The 21,265-nt window shown below is 56.2% G+C and overlaps 3 pseudogenes across 1 annotated transcript, besides 10 other annotated features; 2 read left to right on the top strand and 1 right to left on the bottom strand.

Annotated features, from left to right (window-relative positions):
• Positions 1,401–15,304, bottom strand: POM121L9P (POM121 transmembrane nucleoporin like 9, pseudogene; annotated as a pseudogene). The gene is made up of 7 exons (NR_003714.1): positions 13,527–15,304; positions 9,966–10,172; positions 8,866–8,928; positions 8,052–8,158; positions 5,889–6,017; positions 4,318–5,232; positions 1,401–3,425 (listed from the first exon to the last, which is right to left on the bottom strand). The product of NR_003714.1 is annotated as a POM121 transmembrane nucleoporin like 9, pseudogene (transcript).
• Positions 1,928–2,658: an enhancer, noted in NCBI's record as "H3K4me1 hESC enhancer chr22:24660235-24660965 (GRCh37/hg19 assembly coordinates)". NCBI's record gives its function as "activates a minimal SCP1, AML or CMV promoter by ChIP-STARR-seq in naive H9 embryonic stem cells {active_cell/tissue: H9 hESC(naive)}" and the evidence as "EXISTENCE:reporter gene assay evidence [ECO:0000049][PMID:30033119]".
• BCRP1 (BCR pseudogene 1) lies at positions 3,160–9,525 on the top strand (annotated as a pseudogene).
• Positions 6,645–7,262: an enhancer, noted in NCBI's record as "H3K4me1 hESC enhancer chr22:24655631-24656248 (GRCh37/hg19 assembly coordinates)". NCBI's record gives its function as "activates a minimal SCP1, AML or CMV promoter by ChIP-STARR-seq in naive H9 embryonic stem cells {active_cell/tissue: H9 hESC(naive)}" and the evidence as "EXISTENCE:reporter gene assay evidence [ECO:0000049][PMID:30033119]".
• Positions 7,156–7,225: a silencer, noted in NCBI's record as "silent region_13546". NCBI's record gives its function as "represses an Ori minimal core promoter by ATAC-STARR-seq in GM12878 lymphoblastoid cells {active_cell/tissue: GM12878}" and the evidence as "EXISTENCE:reporter gene assay evidence [ECO:0000049][PMID:35858748]".
• Positions 10,085–10,989: an enhancer, noted in NCBI's record as "H3K4me1 hESC enhancer chr22:24651904-24652808 (GRCh37/hg19 assembly coordinates)". NCBI's record gives its function as "activates a minimal SCP1, AML or CMV promoter by ChIP-STARR-seq in naive H9 embryonic stem cells {active_cell/tissue: H9 hESC(naive)}" and the evidence as "EXISTENCE:reporter gene assay evidence [ECO:0000049][PMID:30033119]".
• Positions 14,844–15,344: an enhancer, noted in NCBI's record as "H3K4me1 hESC enhancer chr22:24647549-24648049 (GRCh37/hg19 assembly coordinates)". NCBI's record gives its function as "activates a minimal SCP1, AML or CMV promoter by ChIP-STARR-seq in naive H9 embryonic stem cells {active_cell/tissue: H9 hESC(naive)}" and the evidence as "EXISTENCE:reporter gene assay evidence [ECO:0000049][PMID:30033119]".
• GGTLC4P (gamma-glutamyltransferase light chain 4 pseudogene) lies at positions 17,425–18,977 on the top strand (annotated as a pseudogene).
• Positions 18,152–19,140: an enhancer, noted in NCBI's record as "H3K27ac-H3K4me1 hESC enhancer chr22:24643753-24644741 (GRCh37/hg19 assembly coordinates)". NCBI's record gives its function as "activates a minimal SCP1, AML or CMV promoter by ChIP-STARR-seq in naive and primed H9 embryonic stem cells {active_cell/tissue: H9 hESC(naive and primed)}" and the evidence as "EXISTENCE:reporter gene assay evidence [ECO:0000049][PMID:30033119]".
• Positions 18,152–19,344: a biological region, named in NCBI's record as "Sharpr-MPRA regulatory region 1554".
• Positions 19,050–19,344: a silencer, noted in NCBI's record as "tiled region #1554; HepG2 Repressive DNase unmatched - State 4:PromP, and K562 Repressive non-DNase unmatched - State 12:CtcfO". NCBI's record gives its function as "represses a minimal TATA promoter and a strong SV40 promoter by Sharpr-MPRA in HepG2 and K562 cells {active_cell/tissue: HepG2 | K562}" and the evidence as "EXISTENCE:reporter gene assay evidence [ECO:0000049][PMID:27701403]".
• Positions 19,240–19,309: a silencer, noted in NCBI's record as "silent region_13545". NCBI's record gives its function as "represses an Ori minimal core promoter by ATAC-STARR-seq in GM12878 lymphoblastoid cells {active_cell/tissue: GM12878}" and the evidence as "EXISTENCE:reporter gene assay evidence [ECO:0000049][PMID:35858748]".
• Positions 20,283–20,838: an enhancer, noted in NCBI's record as "H3K4me1 hESC enhancer chr22:24642055-24642610 (GRCh37/hg19 assembly coordinates)". NCBI's record gives its function as "activates a minimal SCP1, AML or CMV promoter by ChIP-STARR-seq in primed H9 embryonic stem cells {active_cell/tissue: H9 hESC(primed)}" and the evidence as "EXISTENCE:reporter gene assay evidence [ECO:0000049][PMID:30033119]".

Here is a 21,265-nt window from a genome sequence, read left to right as displayed (position 1 = left end):
TTGCTTTTTTTATACAAACGTTACTTTATTGTACCTATTGATCTGTTCCTTTCTCTTTCTTTCTTTTTATTATTTTACTGTATTTTTTGAGACAAGGTCTTGCTCTGTGGCCTAAGCTGGAGTATAGTTGTGCAATCTGGGCTCACTGCAGCCTTGACCTCCCAGGCTCAAGCGATCCTCCCATCTCAGCCTCCCGAATAGCTAGGACTACAGGGACATGCCACCAAGCCCAGCTAACGTTTTATATGTGTTGTAAAGGCAGAGTTTCACCGTGTTGCCCAGGCTGGTCTCAAACTCCTGGGCTCCCGCGATCTGCACAGGTAGGCCTCCCAAAGTGCTGGGATTATAGGCATGAGCCACCATGCCCAGGCTCCACCTCTTACAGTGGACCTGATATTATAATGCCCACTTCCTATGATGAAAAGGAACTGAATGAGTGTGGAATCTCTAGGACCGTGCTGGCATATAATGGGCCCTTGGGGTTTAGTTTAGTAGCAAATTAAAAGGTGCCCATTCCTCAAAACCTTCTATAGACATCTTTCAGGAAACTGCCATGGATAAATATCTGCAAATCAAAGCAAAACTTTAGGGACAAACTACATCAGTCTTCGCCTGTGAATTTTGCATCTATGATGCAAATGACACCCCTCTAAGGTGTTACCCTTCTGCAGTGCACTACCTGTGCAACTGTCCTCAGCAAAGATAGAGTAATCGGCAGTAAATGAGTGGTGGCTGCCCCCTTTACAGAGGCATAAGTTCTCAACTTGCCACAGTCTGCACCATTCCGCTTTGTGCTCTGCCTGGTCCATTTTACTCACTGATATTACCCAACCTCTGAAGGTGTTTAAGTTTGACCATTGACCTCTCATTTCATAGTGAACCTCAGAGAGGTGAAAGGATTCACCCAAGATCACTCAGCAAGTGTGCAGTGTCAGCAAGTTAGCAGTAAGTCAAAACTAGGCCTTAAGGCTCTTGTTACTTCAGAGCAGGACTCTTACTGCCATGCAGCTACCTCTCTCACCAGATGGCCCAAGGCATTTGGTTGTCTCTGGCTTTGGTGGTTGTGGGAGGGGTGGATCAGAGATGCCCTGGGCCATGTTATGGCTCTAGGCCACATGCAAGCAAGCTGCAAACTGAATTGCCTCTGCAGCTGCAGAAGGCAAATTTCTATATTGATATTTGGAAAAACTAACAGCTAGAAAACACCACTCTACTCATTTTTAAAAATAAGATCATATTAAATGACGTTACATGCATCATTTATATATTACTCGCAGTGCCAGCATCCTCAAATATGGTTTTAATTTTGGTAGATATCTTGCTAGGGGGAGCACATTTCTAAGTTATCCAGATATAGGGCCCTCTTTCCTTCTCTTTCTGTCCACATGCAACCAGATGCTTTGTGGAGTTAAAGTTGACATTTATTTAAATGCCACTTGGTGTCTGGTTTTTTCACCTTTAATTTAGGGTTTTCTATCTGGGATGTAAAAGAATCACTTGGAGGGATTTTTCAAAATACCAATGGCCAGGCCACTAGCCAGTCAATCAGAAGCAAAATCTCCTTGGATGGGACCTGGAAGTCTTTACAGTTTTCCAGCATTTTAATGAACATCCCTGATTAAGAACCACCGGGTCTTAAGAGTGTGGCATATGTATTTTTCAAGTTCCTAGAAGCTCTCCAGAACAACAACAAAAAAATCTGCTTTATTCTCTGCCTGGTGTTGATGCATCAGTCTCTTTAGCCGTTAGTCTGATCCTGGAAATTTATGGTCATAATTTGATGAGCAACGTTGGGAATGGCTTCTTCTTTCTTTTCTTTTTTTTTTTTTTTTGAGACAGAGTTCACTCTGTCGACCAGGCTGGAGTGTAGCGGGGGCAATCTCTGCTCACTGCAACCTCCACCCCAATACTTTCATTTTTAAATATTATTTATGGCATCCAGATTTGCATAAGATGGACTGGGTCAATGGCCATGCCCTTTATAAATCAATATTCTTAAGTTCTGCAAATTCAGTTTCCTAAAGAGCCAAATCACATCCTACTCATCAGCAAGGCAGGTAGACATCATTTTCACAATGACTTCTAATTTTCCACCATTGTAAAAAAAAAAATATGTAATCACTTTCTTATTGTAAAATAAACAATTTACTTTTCCAGGACTTTCTGCCTCCCTGCTCCCCTTTTTTTTTTTTCAAACAATCTTGAATCCTTTGTCATGAGTCTGTTGCCAAGAGAAGCCTGTTTGTTGGTTTGAGAGCAGTTCATGCAGACACAGACCACTTCCTCTGAGAATTCATTTGCTTCCCCAGGATGGAATCTGGCTGGGCCTCTGACCTTGCTGGTCACGTGGGCCGGGGCCTCCATCAGTCATACCCTGGACTCCTATCTGTGTCTAAACACCACGCCCCACCCCCAACTGCACGGCAGCCACTCGCATAGCACTCTGGGAGGGCTGTGGGCATGAGCAGCGAGGACTCCATCAGCAGCTCCCCCAGATAAGCCCTGCTAATGAGGGGGCTTGCGAAGCAGCTTTGATGTGCTGGTAAATCCAGGTGCAAAACAGAACTCAAGTTAAGGCCTCCGCACAGCACTGCGTTCTAACTGTGAAGGTTTCTTACTCTAGTGTCCTGTGTGGAGGTATTGGAATTGTCCATTGCTAAGACTCAGAGGAGAAAAGCACTTAGCATCGCAGGACTTGGAGCACCGGTACTGAGGCAACCCTTCATTCATTCGTCGGATGTGTGTTAAGGCCCAGGGCAGGGGTCAGGGATTCTCCTCTCACACAGCACGTGGGTGGCAGGACCAACACCGGGTCTGATCTCCCAGCCGGGGGCACAGGCTGCTAACCCCAGGCCTGGAATCTGTCAGATGCCCTTCCCGTGCTGACTTGACTTAGACAGGCCTCCTGACCTTCCCGCAAAGGTCATGTGTGATTCGCAGGGGTTCTGGCCGCTTGAAAGGTTCCTGAGAAAGCACATGCCGTGAAGACAGAGCTTGCAGAGGGAGGACAGGCATGCAGAAGGCTCTGTGTGCAGCCCCAGACCTGGGTACCTTCGTCACCGTCCTCACCCCACCTCCGGGTGCGCAGATAGGGAGCAGGTCTCCTGTGTTATGGCCCAAGCAGGGCTGTTAGGACACTGAGAACATTCCCCCCTCCCACAGGAGAGAGAGGTCCAAGGTGCCCTACATCGTGCGCCAGTGCGTGGAGGAGATCGAGCGCCGAGGCATGGAGGAGGTGGGCATCTACCACGTGTCCGGCCGGTGTGGCCGCAGACATCCAGGCACTGAAGGCAGCCTTCGATGTCAGTGAGTGTTGGCCTGCGCAGGACGGGATGGAGGTGTGGGCAGTGGTGTCCGCGATGAGATCTCAGAGTGCTCCATGGCCCAGGCATGTCACATCCTTCTCTGTGTCTTTTCTTCATTTACTGTTTTATTATTTTAAAAAAAGAGAAAACAAGAGTTGTACAAACAGCTTCTATAGAAGCCAGTTTTTACACCATCGTACCCACTCATGCCACTTGGTGGAGTGGACCAGGGGCTTCTGTGGGGACTTGGCCTTCCTGCCTTGGGGGTGGACAGGAGGTGGAAGCCCAGGACTCAGTGCGGTCTGTCCACTGCCCTGTATGAGGATGTGGTGGGCAGAGGGCACTGATGAAATTCAGCGCAGGCCGGGGCTGCAGCCTCTCCGCCTCCATCTCACCAACCCTCACAGGCTTTGAAGGACCCGGACCTGCCTCAAATGCCAGGGGAGGGCACTGAGACCCCAGAGGGTCCCTCCCAGCATCTTCAAAGCAACAGGATTTTGTGCCTGCAGATCCTTCTTTGCAGCACACACCACCCACCCTGACCAGGACCCCTAGAATGCCCAGCATCCCTGGGAGGGCCCTGTGGTAGTTTCAGCTCCCTCTGGGGGCCCAGAATGAACCTGGCCTGTGGTGAGGATGTAAGCACCAATGGCCAATTGGGTCCAAAGGAAGACACCGGTTCAAACACTGAAACCAATCAGATTCTCCCACGGCCTTCCTGCCATCAGACGACACTGGTGCAGGGGTGGTTGCTATGTACAGGGCAGAGCCACCCAATCCCCACGCAGGAGCTGTGTCCTGCCATGCTGGCCTCCTCCTGGCCATCACATCAGGCCAAGCAGGGGAGAGGAATGGGAATGCCCATGCACCCCTATCAACTCTGCAGACACAGAACCATGCACAGCTCTTGGGAGGAGTCAGATGAGCTGCTCAAAGCCCGGGAGGGACCCACACAGTGGTCAGCATAGCAGGGACGGTGCTTTAGCCAAGGCAGGGATGGCAGGTGACTCACTCAGGATCTTCAAGGAGGCCGCTGCATTTCCGTGCTCTTTCCAGATAAGAAGGACATGTCGGTGATGATGAGCGAGACGGACATGAACGCCATCGCAGGCACGCTGAAGCTGTACTTCCGTGAGCTGCCTGAGCCCCTCTTCACTGACGAGTTCTACCCCAGCTTCGCAGAGGGCATCGGTGAGCATTGGAGGCCTTGGCCTCGTGGGAGACGTCTCCTCCATGTGCACTGCTGCCCTTGGAGGCTGTGAAAAGTGAGGTGTGGGAACCTGAGCTGTGACCCCTCTGCCATGGTCGGCATTTTAACCCAACCTCAAAAAGCAGGGGACCAGAACCGAGCCTGTCCTGGAAGGCCTTGCTCATCCCCAGAGGGCTCCCCATCCCTATTCCTCAAGGAGGCCAAGTGGGTGAAATGGTCAGCACTGCCATGCTGTGGGGTCCTAAAGTCTGCTGTCCTCCTTCCTGCAGACCAGGGCTAAACACTGGTGCCCAGGTGCTCTTGCCATGGGTCCCGGTCCAGCCAAGCATGGTTTCAAACATGACCTGACCCTTAGTCAACCTGGAGGCTGATGTCTAGAGTGGGCGCTGGAGCGTGCAGCACCTGTGGCCTCTGCATCACCCTTGGGGCAGGTCTGCCTCCCGGGCCCATGCACAGAGGACCTGGTCTCCCAGCCTGCAGGTGCCCCTGTGGTGTCCAGGACGACAAGGGGGTCTCTGCGTACTTGGTGGGGCTGGGACCCTCCCACTTCCCACCTCCTTGTGTCCCTCACTCCCCTGTTTCATTCCATGCTGAGCCTCCCCTGCCTTGGGCTCCCTGGGGAGGGGGTGGTGGCAGGAGTTGCCCAAGGGCTGCTCTGCCCATGAGCAGCTGCTCTAGCGGCTCCTCCTGCTGCTGTTCACCGGGTGCTGCTGAGCCCTGCGAGGTAGAGAAAAGGCGTTCAGGTGGTTCACACCCCACACAGGTGCCCCTCACAGGGTCCTCACTGGCGGCCAGCGCTGTGGGTGTGACGATGATGACAAGCCTAAACTGCGCAAGGACTCGTGTCCCGGGCGCTCCATGTGACCACCTCGGGAGAGGTCTCCGGCTTGTCGTAACCCAGGGGAGTCACCCACTGCCTCCTGCAGCTCTTTCAGACCCAGTTGCAAGGAAGAGCTGCATGCTCAACCTGTTGTTGTCCCTGCCGGAGGCCAACCTGCTCACCTTCCTTTTCCTTCTAGACCGCCTGGAAAGGTAGCCCAGCTCTCTTGTGGCTGCCCAGGACTCCAGGTCTCCAGGCCGTTGGGGTGCCCCTCTGCTCCCACCAGACCCCCAGCACCAAGGACCTTTTCCCCCGACCCCTGTCTGCAGTAACTCACTGCTTCTAAGGACTAGCACCACTGCCACCCCCGCCCCTGCCTCTCCTCTTTGCCACCCGCCTCCCTCTGCACTGTGGCCTTAACAAAGAGCTCAGAGCTTTGGCCGTGGCCAGCAGTGCACTTGGACCCGCCTCTTCCCTCCCAAGCACATCATGAAGACCTCCCCATCAGCCCAGAGCTGGCCCCTTGTCCTGGGCCACTGAGACCCAGAAGTACCAAGGCTGGAGTCAGCTTGCAGCACAGCCAGGGTCGAGGTCACTCCCTCCCTGAGGACTCTAGCACGGCACAGCCCCTCTGCCTCTCTCCTGGTGGTGGCGTTGAAACAGCACCCTCTGCTTCCGTCCTCTACAGGGTGGCAGAGAAGGAAGCAGTCAATAAGATGTCCCTGCACAACCTCGCCACTGTCTTTGGCCCCACGCTGCTCCGGCCCTCCGAGAAGGAGAGCAAGCTCCCTGCCAACCCCAGCCAGCCCATCACCATGACTGACAGCAGGTCCTTGGAGGTCATGTCTCAGGTATGGGAAGACAGTCTCCAGCCCATGCAACCCCAGCCTGACAGAGGTGGTCTCTGCCTGCCCCACCCCCAGTCCTGCCCATCTTCCGACTTGCATTGTATGTGGTGGTGGCTGAGATTCAGAGAGAGGGACTTGCCTAGGTTTGCATGGATGGGAGTGATAGGGGGTGCCCAGGCCACCTCCTGGTCCTGCTGGTGCACCTTGCTGGGGGCTTAAAACCACCCCAAGTGTTCGGGTGTGGTGGCTCATGCCTGTAATCCCAGCACTTTGGGAGGCCGAGGCAGGACAACTGAACCCAGGTGTTTGAGACCAGTCTGGGCAATGTAGCAAACCCCATCTCCAGAAAAAATACAAAGAAAAATTAGGCAGGCATTGTGGCACACATCTGTAATCCTAGGTATCTGGGAGGCTGACACAGGAGGATTGCTTGAGCCCAGGAGTTAGAGGCTGCAGTGATCCATGATGGAGCCACTGTACTCCAGCCTGGGGGACAGAGCAAGGCCCTGTGCATCTCTAAAATAAATAACCACCCCCCACCCAACAAGTCATGCCTTGTCAGGACCCCACCCCACCCCCGTCTCACTGTAAGGGGTTCATGACACCAGCAGGGGTTTCTAGCACCTGAGGTGGACTTGGGGACTTGGGCCCCAAAGACCTCCCCACCAGCAGCTGTGAGCCCCGCTCTGAGCCACTCTCCTCTTCCCCACTCTGCGAGGGCAGGTCGAGGTGCTGCTGTACTTCTTGCGGCTGGAGGCCATCCCTGCCCTGGACAGCAAGAGACAGAGCATCCTGTTCTCCACCGATGTCTAAAGGTCCCAGTCCATCTCCTGGAGGCGGACAGATGGCCTGGAAACCTCTGGCTAATCGGGCCATCTGTAGAGTGGGAATCAAGATTTTCTGAGGCATCCTTGGGCCACCCCCAGGTGTCAGGCCATCTGCCAAGAGACAGCGGCCCAAAGCAGAAGGACAGGTGGCCTGGGCAGATCCCGCCCAGGTCTGAAAGCCCCAGGCTGGCCTCAGACTGTGGGTTTTTTATGCGGCCACCCGAGGGCGCCCCAAGCCAGTTCATCTCTGAGTCCAGGCCTGGCCCTCGGAGACAGGGTGAAAGCAATGGTTTTTATGAACTTAACTTATAGAGTCTAAAAGATTTCTACTGAATCACTTGTCAAGAAGTGCCCTCTCTGGGGAGAAGGGAACGTGACCGGATTCCCTCACTGTTGTATCTTGAATAAACGCTGCTGCTTCATCCTGTGGGGGCCGTGGCCCTGTCCCTGTGTGGGTGGGGCCTCTTCCATTTCCCTGACTTAGAAACCACACTCCACTTAGAACAGGGTTTGAGAGGCTTAGTCAGCACTGGGTAGCGTTTTGACTCCATTCTTGGCTTTCTTCTTTTTCTTCCCAGAAGGATTTTTGTGCAGAAATGGGTCTTTTGTTGCCGTGTTAGTCCTCCTTGGAAGGCAGCTCAGAAGGCCCGTGAAACGTCGGGGGACAGGACCCCCAGGGAGGGAACCCCAGGCTACGCACTTTAGGGTTCGTTCTCCAGGGAGAGCGACCTCGTCCCCCGATCCTGACCGCCCTTCCGGCCCACGCTCTCCTGTTTGGCTTCCACAGGCCTGGACTTCTCTGGCTTCTCTGCCCACACACTCCCTGCCCCCAGTGTCCCTGCCCCTGCCCCAGCACAGGTGACTTCATTTCTGTCCTCTCAGCTCAGTGGACTCGCTCAACTTTTGTATAAGTCTCCACTTGGTGGCAGCAGCTTGCTGATGACTTGTTTTAAAACTTTCATCCTAAATAACCTTTTGATACTTGAATATTTTTAAGTTTTATACATAGTTTCTAATTTTTTTCCCAACAGATCCAGATACCTAATAAGATGCTGGAATGTAATCCCTGGACAATCCGTGTCCTGGCAGCATTTGGTCTTCCTCTAAGCGCCTGGCTCCGCTGTTCTCAGGAGTGGGTTCTGAAGTCTCTGGAGAACAGGATACGTGGAGGGTTAGGAAGGGGCCAGGCCTAGAGACGGGAGACTCCCTCCCGGAGCAGGTGGAGGCACAGGACCATTCGCTACCCCATCTGCCGGCAGCTGCGGGGGAGCCCAGGCATTCTTTGTAAGCCCTCCTGACCACCTGGCTCAAAGAAAACAGAAGCATGGAGGCCGCCAAGTATTTTCAAGAAATAATCCCATGAACATGGCATCACTTTTTTAGAAAGAGGGGCTTGGGGCAGGCAGAGGAGAGAAGGGAGATCAAACTGAGAGCCAAGTTTCCAGACGGTCCTGCAGGAGGAGAGGATGCAGCTGCCCAGAGGGAAGCAGGATCACATTTAAGGAAGTGTGTGGGGTCCCTGGATGACACCAGCACCCAGTGCGGCTCTGTCTGGCAACCGCTCCCAAGGTGGCAGGAGTGGGTGTCCCCTGTGTGTCAGTGGGCAGCTCCTGCTGAGCCTACAGCTCACTGGGGAGCCTGACAGCGGGGCCATGTGCCTGACACTCCTCTCTGCTTGTGGACCTGGCAAGGCAGGGAGCAGAAAACAGAGCCACTTGAAGGCTTTCTGTCTGCGTCTGTGTGCAGTGTGGATTTAGTTGTGCTTTTTTCTTGCTGGGAGAGCACAGCCACCATTTACAAGCAGTGTCACCCTCATGGGTGGCGAGGACAGAACAGGAGCCTCTGCTCTCTGTACCTATCTGGGCCCGGTGGGCTCCCTTGTCCTGGCTTCCATCTCTGTCTCAGCGACCATTCAGCCCTGCGCAGGAACACATGTTGCTTAGAAAAGCCAAATTCAGCCCTTGTCTCTGCCTCCTCTGGTCTCATGATGTGCATCTGTTACCTTGAAACTGGAAACCAGTCTATCAATGTCTGTGCCAATTTTTTATTCCCTCCCCAACCTCCTTCCCCATACGACTTTTTATTTATGTAGGATGTGTGCTGTCTAATGATGGGATGACCACATTTTTCCATGTTCTAAAAGTGCTCCTCTCCCGCAGGGTCCCAGGGCTGGTGGTTGCTTTGGGTCTACAGCTACGTCTTACCCGCCTCCTGCCTCAACAGCCTGTGTGGTGGCAAAGCCGGTGTGGGGCTGGGGAACGCAGCGTTCTCCAGGAGGGGGACCCGGCTCTCCTTCTGCAGTGCAGGCGAAGGCCTAGATGCCAGTGTGACCTCCCACAAGGCGTGGCTTCCAGACTCCCCGGCTGGAAGTGATGCTTTTTTGCCTCCGGCCCTGGGTTTGAAGCAGCCTGGCTTTCTCTTGGTAAGTGGCTGGTGTCTTAGCAGCTGCAATCTGAGCTCAGCCACCTACACACCACCGTGGCCGACACTTTCATTAAAAAGTTTCCTGAGACGACTTGCGTGCATGTTGACTTCATGATCAGCGCCGCTGGGAAGAACCCCTGAGCCGGTGGGGTGGGGCTGGAAGCAGCAGGTGCAGTGATGGGGCTGGGTGCCCAGGAGGCCTCAGTGCTCAATCAGGCCAAGGTGGCCAAGCCCAGGCTGCAGGGAAGGCCGGCCTGGGGGTTGTGGGTGAGCACAGGCAGGCACCAGCTGGGCAGTGTTAGGATGCTGGAGCAGCATCCGTAACCCCACTGAGTGGGGTAGTCTGGTTGGGGCAGGGACCGCTGTTGCTTTGGCAGAGAGAGATGATCCCCACTGGGGAGAGGCTGTTCTGACTCTGCAGGTGGGACAGGGACAGATGGCCACCAGGGTGACCCGGCTGGTCTTCCTTTGCTATGCTAAGCCCTGGGACATGGAGGTTTCCTGCCACACAGCCTGGGCCGGGGTTCTTACCTGTGGCCACCGCTCTGGCACGAGCCCCTCAGTCTTGGGTGGTTTCTGCCTGGTCCGGGATTTGGTGTTCCTGCTGAGTCCAGCCTTTCTACCACCTCTGCATGGGCCGTGGGTGGTGTTGTCAGCTGCCTCCCACCTTGGCTTCAGTAGCTCACCCAGCTTACAGGGGAGCTGCCCTGGGCTGGAGATGGGCATGCACCCTGGGTCCTACTTGAATGAATGCAGCTTGAGGAGACCCGGCCATATACACTGGGCCACAGGTTACCCTCGGCAATGCCCACATCAGCCGTCAGCCTGAGCCTCCCCAGGAGAGCAAGGCTCACACGACAAAGGCTGCCCGTGGCCAATGAGGTGGCTGAGCCCAGCCAGGACCTTTCTCGGACTCCCGGGATGTGGCTCTGCTCGTGAGCTGCCTGGTCAGCTCTCTCGGGGTGAGAGGGGCTTGTCACACGGGCCCCTGCCTGCAGTGTGACCCTTCTCAGCTTCTCTCAGCAGCCCTGCCTGCGGAGTGTCACCACCACCATGATCATTTCCCTGACACTGCGAGGGTCGGGGGGCGTCCTGGGTAGAGACAGGGCCCGTGGCAGCAGCAGGCTCAGGGGCGGCCTACACTGGTGGGCTGGGGACCTGGTGGAGACCACGCCAAGGGCTGGACAAGGGAACGAGCCTCCACCCTGGCCTCTCCGCAGGCCTCAGCAGCCCCTCCCACAGGCAGAAGGGTTGACACTGGGTTCTGCCCTCACTGCAAGAGCTGCAAGTGCCACGTGCTGTTCTGCCCAATCTGGTGTCTGCAGGTGAGGGAAGGGCTGCCGCTGGCCCATTTCTGAGTGTTCAGCACCTAAGGGTGACAGCACTGTTTGTCCCTACCCTCCGAGTCCTGTTTGAAAATCAAACCCATGCTCACAGGCCAATTTTTTTTTCTTTTAGAGACAGGGTCTCACTTTGTCACCCAAGCTGGAGTGCAATGGTGCGATTATAGCTCAATGCAGCCTCCAATTCCCGGACTCAATGGACCTTCCTGCCTCAGCCTGCCAAGTAGCTTGGACTATAGCTGTGTGTTTTATTATTATTTTGTAGACATGGGGTCTGGCTATGTTGTCCAGGCTATTCTCAAAATTCCCGGCCTCAAGCAATCCTCCCGCCTCGGCCTCTCAAAGGTTGGGATTACAGGTGTGAGGCAAGGCACCCAGCTCAGCCACAGAGCCCTATTGCATCTCTCTTACTAGGAGCAAGAGCTGACTGCCCCCTCATCCCCATTCCAGAGTGTTGGGGCTGTGTTGAGCCGAGGCCGGGCCACTGGCATGGCCCAGGGAACGGGATCATTCACTGCTGCCCCAAATCTGAGATCATTCCACCTTGACAAGACTTCCTCATCCAATCCCTTTACTTGACAGCTGGGGAAACCAATGCGCACAGAGCACCCCCAGCTCACTTGGGGTCTCAGAGCTGATCCATGAGCGGAGGCTGAGATCCTGGGATCTTGTCCCTCAGCCTCCCTGCAACCTTACTCCCTTTCTGCTGAAAGAGATGGGGCCGGACCTTGACCAGCAGCCCTGGCCTGGACATGACTGTGCTCATGCAGGTATTGAGGCCGAGACGCCCCGGCATCATATGTTTTTCTATTTTCTTTTTTTTTTTTTTGAGACGGTGTCTCACTCTGTCCCCCAAGCTGGAGTGCAGTGGCATGATATTGGCTCACTGCAACCTCTGCCTCCCGGTTAAAGTGATTCTCCTGCCTCAGCCTTCCAAGTAGCTGGGCCTACAGGCTTGTACCACCATGCCTGACTAATTTGTGCATTTTTACTAGAGACAGGGTTTCCCCATGTTGGCCAGGCTCATGTCGAACTCCTGACCTCAAGTGATCCACCTGCCTTGGCCTCCCAAAGTGCCAGGATTACAGGCATGAGCCATGGCGTCACTTAAATGTAGTGAGAGGCCGGGCACAGTGGCTCATGCCTGTAATCCCAGTACTTTGAGGGGACGAGGCTGTCAGATCACCTAAGGTCAGGAGTTCGAGACCAGCCTGGCCAACATGGTGAAACCGTGTCTCTAAAAAAAATAGAAAAAAATATCCCTGCATGGTGGTGAGTACCCGTAGTCCCAGTTACTCAGGAGGCTGAGGCATGAGAATCGCTTAAACCTCGGAGGCGGAGGCTGCAGTGAGCTGAGATGGCGCCACTGCACTCCAGCCTGGGTGACAGAGGAAGACTTTGTCTCTAAATAATTAAATAAATAAATATGGCCGAGCATGGTGCCTTAGGCCTGTATTCCCAACACTTTGGGAGGCTGAGGCAGGTGGTTCATGAGGTCAGGAGCCCGAGACCAGCCTGGCCAAGATGGTGAAACACTGTCTCTACTAAAAATACAAAAATTAGCCAGCTGTGGTGGCAGGCACCTGTAATCCCAGCTACTTGGGACACTGAGGCAGGAGAATCACTTGAAACTGGAAGTCAGAGGTTTCAGGGAGCCGAGATTGCACCACTGCACTCTAGCCTGGGCGATGGAGCAAGACTCCATCTCAAATAAATAAATTAATAAATACAGAGCAAGATTCCATCTTAAATAAATAAATATACACCTGTAATCCTAGCAGTTCGGGAGGCTAAGACAGGTCGATCACCTGAGGTCAGGAGTTCGAGACCAGCCTGACCAATATGGCAAAACTCCATCTCTACTAAAAATACAAAAATTAGCCAGGCGTTTTGACGTGTGCCTGTAGTCCCAGCTACTTGGGAGGCTGAGACAGGAGAATTGCTTGAACCCAAGAGGTGGAGGTTGCAGTGAGCCGAGATCTCGGCTGCACTTCAGCCTGGGTGACAGAGTGAGACTGTCTCAAAAGGAATAAAAAAAATACAAAATAAAAAAAATGTAGTAAGATTGCAGAGTCGTGCCGCGGAAGCGTGCTGGTCCTATCCATGTAGTGAAGGCTGATTTCATACACAAATGTCACAAGAACTTTTTTTCTTTTTCTTTTTTTTTGAGACGGAGTCTCGCTCTGTCACCCAGGCTGGATTGCAGTGGCGCGATCTCAGCTCACTGCAAGCTCTGCCTCCCGGGTTTATGCCGTTCTCCTGCCTCAGCCTCCCAAGTAGCTGGGACTACAGGCCTGTGCAGCAGATGCAGGGGGGCCACTAGGCCCAGGCAGTCTTGGGACTTGTGTGTCTCCTGCTGTGCATCCATACTGGGTGCTTTAGAAACGGCAGGCAGACCAGAAGCCCCTGTTGCAAGTGAGGACAAAGTGTGGGAAGGCCGTGAGGGTCTGCAGTCCTAGATGGCCTGGTCCTCAACCTGCAGTGCACTGTTGATGCGCTGGAATGCCTCCTCCTTCTCCCGGTCCAGGTCTTCAGCAGTGACCCGGTACCCCATCTCTAAGGGAGGTGGCAGCATCAAAGGCTCCCCTCGCCTGCGTGGCAGCAGGGGAAACTTGCATATACGGGGCCTAGAGGCCTGGGATCTGGGGGAGCCACCCCTGGAGGCGAGTGTCTGCCCTGGTGCTGTATCTGCCGTCTTTTCACACTGGGTGTGACCCGAAGAGACAGCCTGAGGTCCGTCCTCACTCACTGTGTTTGAGGAACTGAGGGTCAGCTGGCAGTGGGATGAGGCTGGCCCCTCTTCCGCTTTTGTTCCGGGAGGCCTCCCGTAGAGCTGTAGGGGCTCGAGATGGCATTTCATTTGGGGCACGAGCTGGTCCAGGAGGTCTGGGATCTCTGGTTCTGACCTCTGGGCACCTGCTGCAGCTGTGGCTGAGGCCCAGAAATGTGAAGGGCCTCCATCCACTCCAGTAGTGACCCCAACGTGGGGTTCAATGTGGAGCGGGGAGGGGCTGCTGCGGCAGCTGCAGGAGCAGAAGTGCCATGCCTTGTTCTTCTCATGCCCGCATCCATGCTTGCAGCTGGGAAGGGGGCAGGAATCAGCGAGGTGACCTGGGCTGAGTCCTGGGAATCAGAAGAGGTGGCAGGAAGGGGATCTGAGGAGGAGAACAGGGGGCCTGGTGGTCTGTGCTTCTTCCCAGACATGGGAGCTGTAGAGGGGACCCCTGCAGCAGATGCTAAGGGGTCCAGTAGGCCCAGGCAGTCTTGGGACTTGTGTGTCTCCTGCTGTGCATCCATACTGGGTGCTTTAGAAACGGCAGGCAGACCAGAAGCCCCTGTTGCAAGTGAGGACAAAGTGTGGGAAGGCCGTGAGGGTCTGCAGTCCGAGATGGCCTTGTCCTCAACCTGCAGTGCACTGTTGATGCGCTGGAAGGCCGCCTCCTTCTCCCGGTCCAGGTCTTCAACAGTGACCCGGTACCCCAGCTCTAAGGGAGGTGGCAGCATCAAAGGCTCCCCTCGCCTGCGTGGCAGCAGGGGAAACTTGTGTGTACTGGGCCTAGAGGCCTCGGATGTGGAGGAGTCATTCCTGAGGGTGAGTGTCTGCCCTGGTGCTATATCTGCTGCCTTTTCACACTGGGTGTGACCTGAAGAGACAGCCTGAGGCCTGTCCTCACTCACTGTCTTTGAGGAACTGAGGGTCAGCTGGCAGTGGGATGAGGCTGGCCCCCTCCTCCGCTTTAGCCCCGGCAAGCCTCCCGTGGAGCTGTAGGAGCTGGAGATGGCATTTCGGTTGGTGCAGGAGCTCGTCCAGGAGGTCTGGGATGTCGGGTTATATCTGATTTCTGACCTCTGGGCATGGAGGTCTGTCTGCAGAGGCCCGGGCCCGGGCACAAAGGGAGAGAGGCCTCCATTGTCCCGCAGGGGCCGAAATGCAGACGGTGCATCCCCGGTGACCTCGGGGACCCTTCTCTGATCACCAGGATTCTCTTGGACTCTAGGGTCCTTGTCCTGCTCAGGCATCCCTGCCCCGCTCTCCTTGAGGGCCCTCAACACTATCTTCCCTGGACACAAGTCTGGGGACAGCCGGGTGTTGTGGACCCCAAAGGGGTGACTCCCGGCTCCTGGGCCCCACAGAGAGTCCATGTTCTCAGTGCAGTGGCTGAGCTGGAGGACGCCCTGGAACTCGGAGCACACAGCACTGGCTTGCTGTGGTACCTGTGCAATCAAATTGAAGGCAGGATCCCAGGAAGGAACGCAGGGCTTGCAGGATCACGGAAAACCTTCTTAGAGTTGTCTTGACACCACTGATGTCAAGTGTCCGGGTGCTTGTAGGATGGCCTGCCACTCAGTCCACGGGCAGGAGCAACGGGGAGATCCCACAGGCAAAGTGAACTGGGGGATGGGCTGAACGGGCTCCAGGCAACTGAGCCCTACTGGCAGGTCCTCGGCCTGGGCCCGAACAGGAAGGAGGGGCACAGAGTGCCCAGGTAACCGCTCCTGGGAGCAGTGGGGAACCGTCGGTTGCTTGAACTCTCGAGAGCTGGGCTCTGAGCGTCCTCGTCCAGCCGCCAACTCCGCCAAAGGCTAAGCCAGCAGTTTCTTCTGTTGCCGGGCAACGCGCCTTTTAAACCTGAGGGAGTGGGCGCGTGAGCACATCACGGCGCCCGTGACAGAGCGAGCTTAACGGATTAATAAGCGCAGCCAGGTACCCGCGCGAGGCACTTGCTGGCAATGGCGGGAGGCGGACGTGGGGGGTCATGCAATAGGTACTGGAAGGAGAGAGGCGGGCACAAAGGTTGCGGGAGGAACAGGTGCCCACAATGGTGGCAGATCTGCCCGTGGATCACTGAAGATTCCTGCTCTCCTGCTGAGGTGGAGATTGCAGTGAGCTGAGATCGCACCATTGCACTCCAGCCTGGGCAACAAGTGCAAAACTCAGTCTCCAGATAAAAAAAAGAAAAAGAAAAAAAAGAGGCCGGGCGTGGTGGCTTATGCCTATAATCCTAGCACTTTGGGAGGTCGGGGCAGACGGATCACGAGATCAGGAGTTGGAGACCAGCCTGGCCAACATAGTGAAACCCCGTCTCTAGTAAAAATACAAATTTAGTCAGACATGGTGGCACGCGCCTGTAGTCCCAGCTGCTCCGGCGGCTGAGACAGGAGAATCACTTGAACCCGGGGGCGGGCGGGGAAGGGATTGTGATGCGCCGAGATCGCGCCACTGCACTCCAGCCTGGGCAACAGAGCCAGACTCTCTCTCTTTTTTTTTTTTTTTTTTTGAGATGGAGTCTCCCTCTATCGCCCAGGCTGGATTCCAGTGGCCTGATCTCAGCTCACCGCAAGCTCCGCCTACCGGGTTCACGCCATTCTCCTGCCTCAGCCTCTGGAGTAGTTGGGACTGCAGGCGCCCGCCACCACACCCGGCTAATGTTTTGTATTTTTAGTAGAGACGGGGTTTCACCGTGTTAGCCAGGATGATCTCCATCTCCTGACGTCGTGATCCCCCTCCCAAAGTGCTGGGATTACAGGCGTGAGCCACCGCGCCCGGTGTTGAAACTCCCTTGAGGCATTTTCTTCGGCCTTCGGGTCCATCCTCTGTCTCCTCCTTGACCTCCTCATCTCCTCCTCGCCACTGCCTTGGGGACCTTGGCCAGGCTCATGGCATCCAGCAGCCACTCAATGTCAATACCTCCATGTTCATCTCTCAGCCCGCCCTTGCCCGTGAACCCATGCTTATTTATTTATTTTTTTATACGTGCACCCATGCTCTTCAGGTCTGATGAAGTATCCAGAATCAAGCTCCTGACCATCCCCAAACCTGCCCTTTCTGCAGGGTTTACCTCGCTAGTCGGCACCATCCTTGATTCTTCTCTTTCTCCCACCCAGGCCATCATCTCTTGCCTGGTTGATACCCACAGCCTCCCCTTTGGGCTTTATCCTTATCCCCGTCATAGCTGCCAGAGGGACCCTGTGAAAACACTCCCCAGCCTGCTCATTCCTCTGCCCTAAGCCTGCATGGCACAGAGCAAAAGCCAGTTGTTATGGGACCTAGGAGGTCTTGTGGGATGGGCCCCAGCCTGCATCTTCATCCTCTTCTCCCCACCCCACTCCATTCACTCTTTGCCTATCGCTCACCAGCCTATACCACCTGCCTCAGGGCCTTTGCACTGACCATTTAGGCCACATTCCAGGCTCTTTTCACACGTTGCCTCCTCTGAGAAGCCCTCCCTGACCACTCTGCCCATACCTCATGCCTCTTGATTCCCCTTACCTGGCTTGTGGTTTCAGCACTTTCCCTGTGTGTGTTTGTTTTTCTTGGCATGAGGGCAGGACCTAAGTGTCTGTTCCCTGTTGATTCCCCAGTGCCAGGCATGCAGTGCAAACTCTAGAAATATTTTTTGCATGAAGGAATGAGTGATTGAATGCAGCAAGGGTCTGGAGGCTGAGGACCAGGCAGACAGACATTCAGAGTTGCTGGAACGCGACAGAGACAGGGAGTCAGACTGGTCTTGCAAGATCCTGGGCCTGCCCTTGGGTCCTGGGGAGCCACGGAAGGTTGTGGGTGCCAGAGGGTTGTGATCAGAGCCACAGTCAGGGGCCTTTTGAGACCTGTGCCCCCTCCCCACCCTCCCTCCCCACCTCCTCAGGCCAGCTCTGGGGTCTCGGCAGGTGGTCCGCAACATGACCTCTGAGTTCTTCGCTGCCCAGCTCCGGGCCCAGATCTCTGACGACACCACTCACCCGATCTCCTACTACAAGCCCGAGTTCTACACGCCAGTTGATGGGGGCACTGCTCACCTGTCTGTCGTCGCAGAAGACGGCAGTGCTGTGTCCACCACCAGCACCATCAACCTCTAGTAGGGGCTGCTGGGCCGCCTGGGTGGGAAAGGGCCAGGGGCGGGTGGCCCAGGGACTGCCCACTTATCCAGTAAGGTGGCTCCGTCACCTCTTTTCCTGGTGGGAAACTGAGGCCCAACCTTGGTAGCTTATCCTGGGCCTCTCAGTGAGTATGTTTGAGCCTCAGTGGGTGGATAGGGACCAGGCTGGGCCAGGCAAGGTCGGGCACTGTCTGACCTGGCTGGGCGGTAGCTTTGGCTCCAAGGTCCGCTCCCCGGTCAGCGGGATCCTGTTCAATGATGAAATGGACGACTTCAGCTCTCCCAACATCACCAACGAGTTTGGGGTGCCCCCTCACCTGCCAATTTCATCCAGCCAGGTATGGGGTGGAGGTCCGGGGGTGGGGGACTGGGGTGGAGAGGGGCGGGTGTCCTGGGCAGGCAGCTGACGGGCATCCCTGTCTTCTCCCATCGGCCATAGGGAAGCAGCCGCTCTCGTCCATGTGCCCGACGATCATGGTGGGCCAGGACGGCCAGGTCCGGATGGTTGTGGGAGCTGCTGGGGGCACACAGATCACCACAGCCACTGCACTGATATGTGTCACAGCTTTTCTCCCTGGCCGTGCCCACCCTGCACAGCCCCCAAGCCACGCTGATCACACTCCCATGCCCCAGGCCATCATCTACAACCTCTGGTTCGGCTATGACGTGAAGCGGGCCGTGGAGGAGCCCCGGCTGCACAACCAGCTTCTGCCCAACGTCACGACAGTGGAGAGAAACATTGACCAGGTGGGCCGGGGGTTGGAGAAACTGAGTCACGGTGTGGGGCCCCAGGGCATCCTGGGCTGGAGGCCTGGATCATCACAGAGTGGACAATGGTTGGTGTCCTCTCTCTAGTGCCTGGGCCATCTGGAGCCCCTGTGACATGAAGGCCAAACCCCCTGCTCCAGTGAGACCCAGCAGGCCCCAACCTGCTCTTCCTGATGACCTGGCCCGAAATGGCACCACCTGGGCTGAGGCCTGTGACCACACAGATGTGGTTCAGGTGGCATCTGGAGCCTTGCTCAGGCTTCCCCTCTCCTCCCACCCCCAGGCAGTGACTGCAGCCCTGGAGACCCGGCACCATCACACCCAGATCGCATCCACTTTCATCGCTGTGGTGCAAGCCATCGTCCACACGGCTGGTGGCTGGGCAGCTGCCTCGGACTCCAGGAAAGGCGGGGAGCCTGCTGGCTACTGAGTGCTCCAGGCGGACAAGGCTGACAAGCAATCTAGGGACAAGATACTCACTAGGACCAGGAAGGGGACTCTGGGGGACCGGCTTCCCCTGTGAGCAGCAGAGCAGCACAATAAATGAGGCACTGGAGAGGCGGGATTCGGAGATCTTCACGCTGCGGTCGCTGGAACTAGCCTCAGCATCTTCAGCATGGGGAAAGCCAGGCACGTGGCTGGGGGCCAGGGGAAGGTCCATGCCAAGCCCTGCCCCTTCCCACCCTGATCCCTCAGACTTGGGGCCAGGCCCTCCCTTCCCTGGGCTGGGCAGCAACACCACCTAGGACCAGCCACCAGAGGGTGCAGCGACCCCGGCCCTTTCTTAGGCAGAGAGTGGCCAGCTGATGCCGGGAACCCGGGTGCCTTCTCAGACCCGTAGGCGTCCAGCTCACCCTGCCGAGGACATGGGAGGTGAAGCTGAGGTCTGAGGAGTGGGGATTGGGCAAGAGGCTGGAGGAAAACATCTCAGTCAGAGCCAAGCCCCTGGGGGGTTTCCAAGTTTAAGCCCAGAGTGAAACCCAAGCTTGTGATCCTCTCCAGAGGGAGGCCTGGTTCTCAGGGAACAGCAAACTGGAAGAGGTCCCCAGATCCCAGGGATCAGGGCTTGGACCAGCCGGGGATGCAGCCCAGAGGGAGTGGGTTTGGAAGGGAACAACTAGACACAGCAGCCTTCACCATCAGCAGCCCCTCCAGGCCTCCCTCGGGGCCTGCTCCCTCCTCCAGGCACAGTTCCAACACCTGGGGCAGGATTCTGGGAAAGGCTGGTGGAGATAGGCTGGTGAGGGGTGGTGGTCACAGCCCAGCACCAGGGGCACTCTGGATATCACCAGGGGCACTCTGGCCAGGGCCCAGGTGAGGCCAGGTCGGGGCTATCCTTCAGGAGCCCCGAAAACCTGGTGATACCAAAGGGCCCACAAACAGGGTTTTGTGCCTGCAGAGTAGAGTACCACCGGTTCTGAGCCCTGGAGGGCTGTGTCTCTGGGGCTCCCAGTTGAGTGATGTACGAGTCACTCCTCAATCCTTATTTTATTTATTTAATTTAAAAAATTATTTAAACAAATAGAGATGGGGTCTCACTATGTTGACCAGGCTGGACTTAAACTCCTGACTTCAAGCAGTCCCCCCATCTCAGTCTCCCAAAGTGCTAGGATTACAGGGGTGAGCCACTGCACCCGGCCTCAATCCTTATTTCGGCCTGAGAGGAAAGGCCGTGGCCCCATTTGCAGGGGAGAAGACTGAAGCTGGAGGGGCAGGCCTTGCTCTGGGTTGCACAGCAGGAAGAGAAGTGGGAGCTGGCCACGAGGCTTCCTGGACCCGACACGCTGGTGGGGTACACCCTGGTTCTCCAGGTCCCGTGGGGCTCAGCCCAGGACTACCTCGGGGGGTGAGGGACTTAAATCCTCTCCTTCATTCTCATCGCCCCTTCCCCCATCATTTCCTGAGGAAGGACATTCAGGGACCTTCCTGGCTGTGCCTCGGGTCAGGACCAGAATGACACCCATTCCTTTCCCTGGGCCTTTGCTCAGGCGGTCCCTGCACCCTGGCCTCTGCCTGACCAGGATGGTGGGGAGAGGAGGGGGGACGTCCCCCACGCTGCTGTCTCCACTGTTCCTGCTGCCCAGGCCTCTGAGCTTCCAGGACTGCAGCGGGTGGGTGGGTGGGCTGGCCTAAGCCCAGGAATGCACTTCAGCTCCTGGTTGAGCAATGTCACTGAGGCTTGGGAGTCGGGTGGGGGCGGGAGGAGGCATCCACAGGCCCCCCACCGCGAGAGGCAGCCGTGGGAACAGCCTGCCTCTAAACAATCATTCCAGTCCAGGCTGACCAGGGGCTCTGGCTGGACATAGGGGCCTGGCAGGCTGTGTGGCCTGTAAGGACACAGTCTGTCTCTGTGCCTCAGTTTCTCTGCTGCCCAGATGGGGGGGCCCGGCTTCCAGGTGTAGACATCTGGAGCAGGCAGTGTTCAGCTGGGGAGGAAGCGGGGAGGACTGTGGGGGCCACGTGGGAAGAAGTCCAGCCCACATCACCTGCACCCCTGCTGAGCCTGGTCAACAGAGCCCCTCAGTGGGTCCTCACTCTCCTGGCTGCCTCCCATTTAGGCACCCTGAGGCCTGGGGAGAACAGAGCCAGGCCAGTGTCCCTAGAGAGGCTGCGCTGCCAGCACAGTAATAGCGGATTTGGATTCAGGGAAGCAGACCCGCAGCTAGGGTGGGAAAGAGCTACAGGCAGGGCGTGGCCTCCACACAGCCTCCCTCCCTGGAGGTCCATGCTGCATTTCCAGGACAGCAAGTCCTGGACAAATGGTCCCGGATGCCAAGGGCTAGAGGCATGGTCTGTCTGCATTCCCCACATGGGCGTCTTGTAGTCACCAGCATTTGATGCT

Source organism: Homo sapiens, chromosome 22 (genome assembly GCF_000001405.40).
Source record: "Homo sapiens chromosome 22, GRCh38.p14 Primary Assembly".
Taxonomy (NCBI): Eukaryota; Metazoa; Chordata; class Mammalia; order Primates; family Hominidae; genus Homo; species Homo sapiens.
The sequence above is the reverse complement of the archived record's forward strand: the minus strand, read 5'-3'. Positions and strand labels throughout refer to the sequence as shown.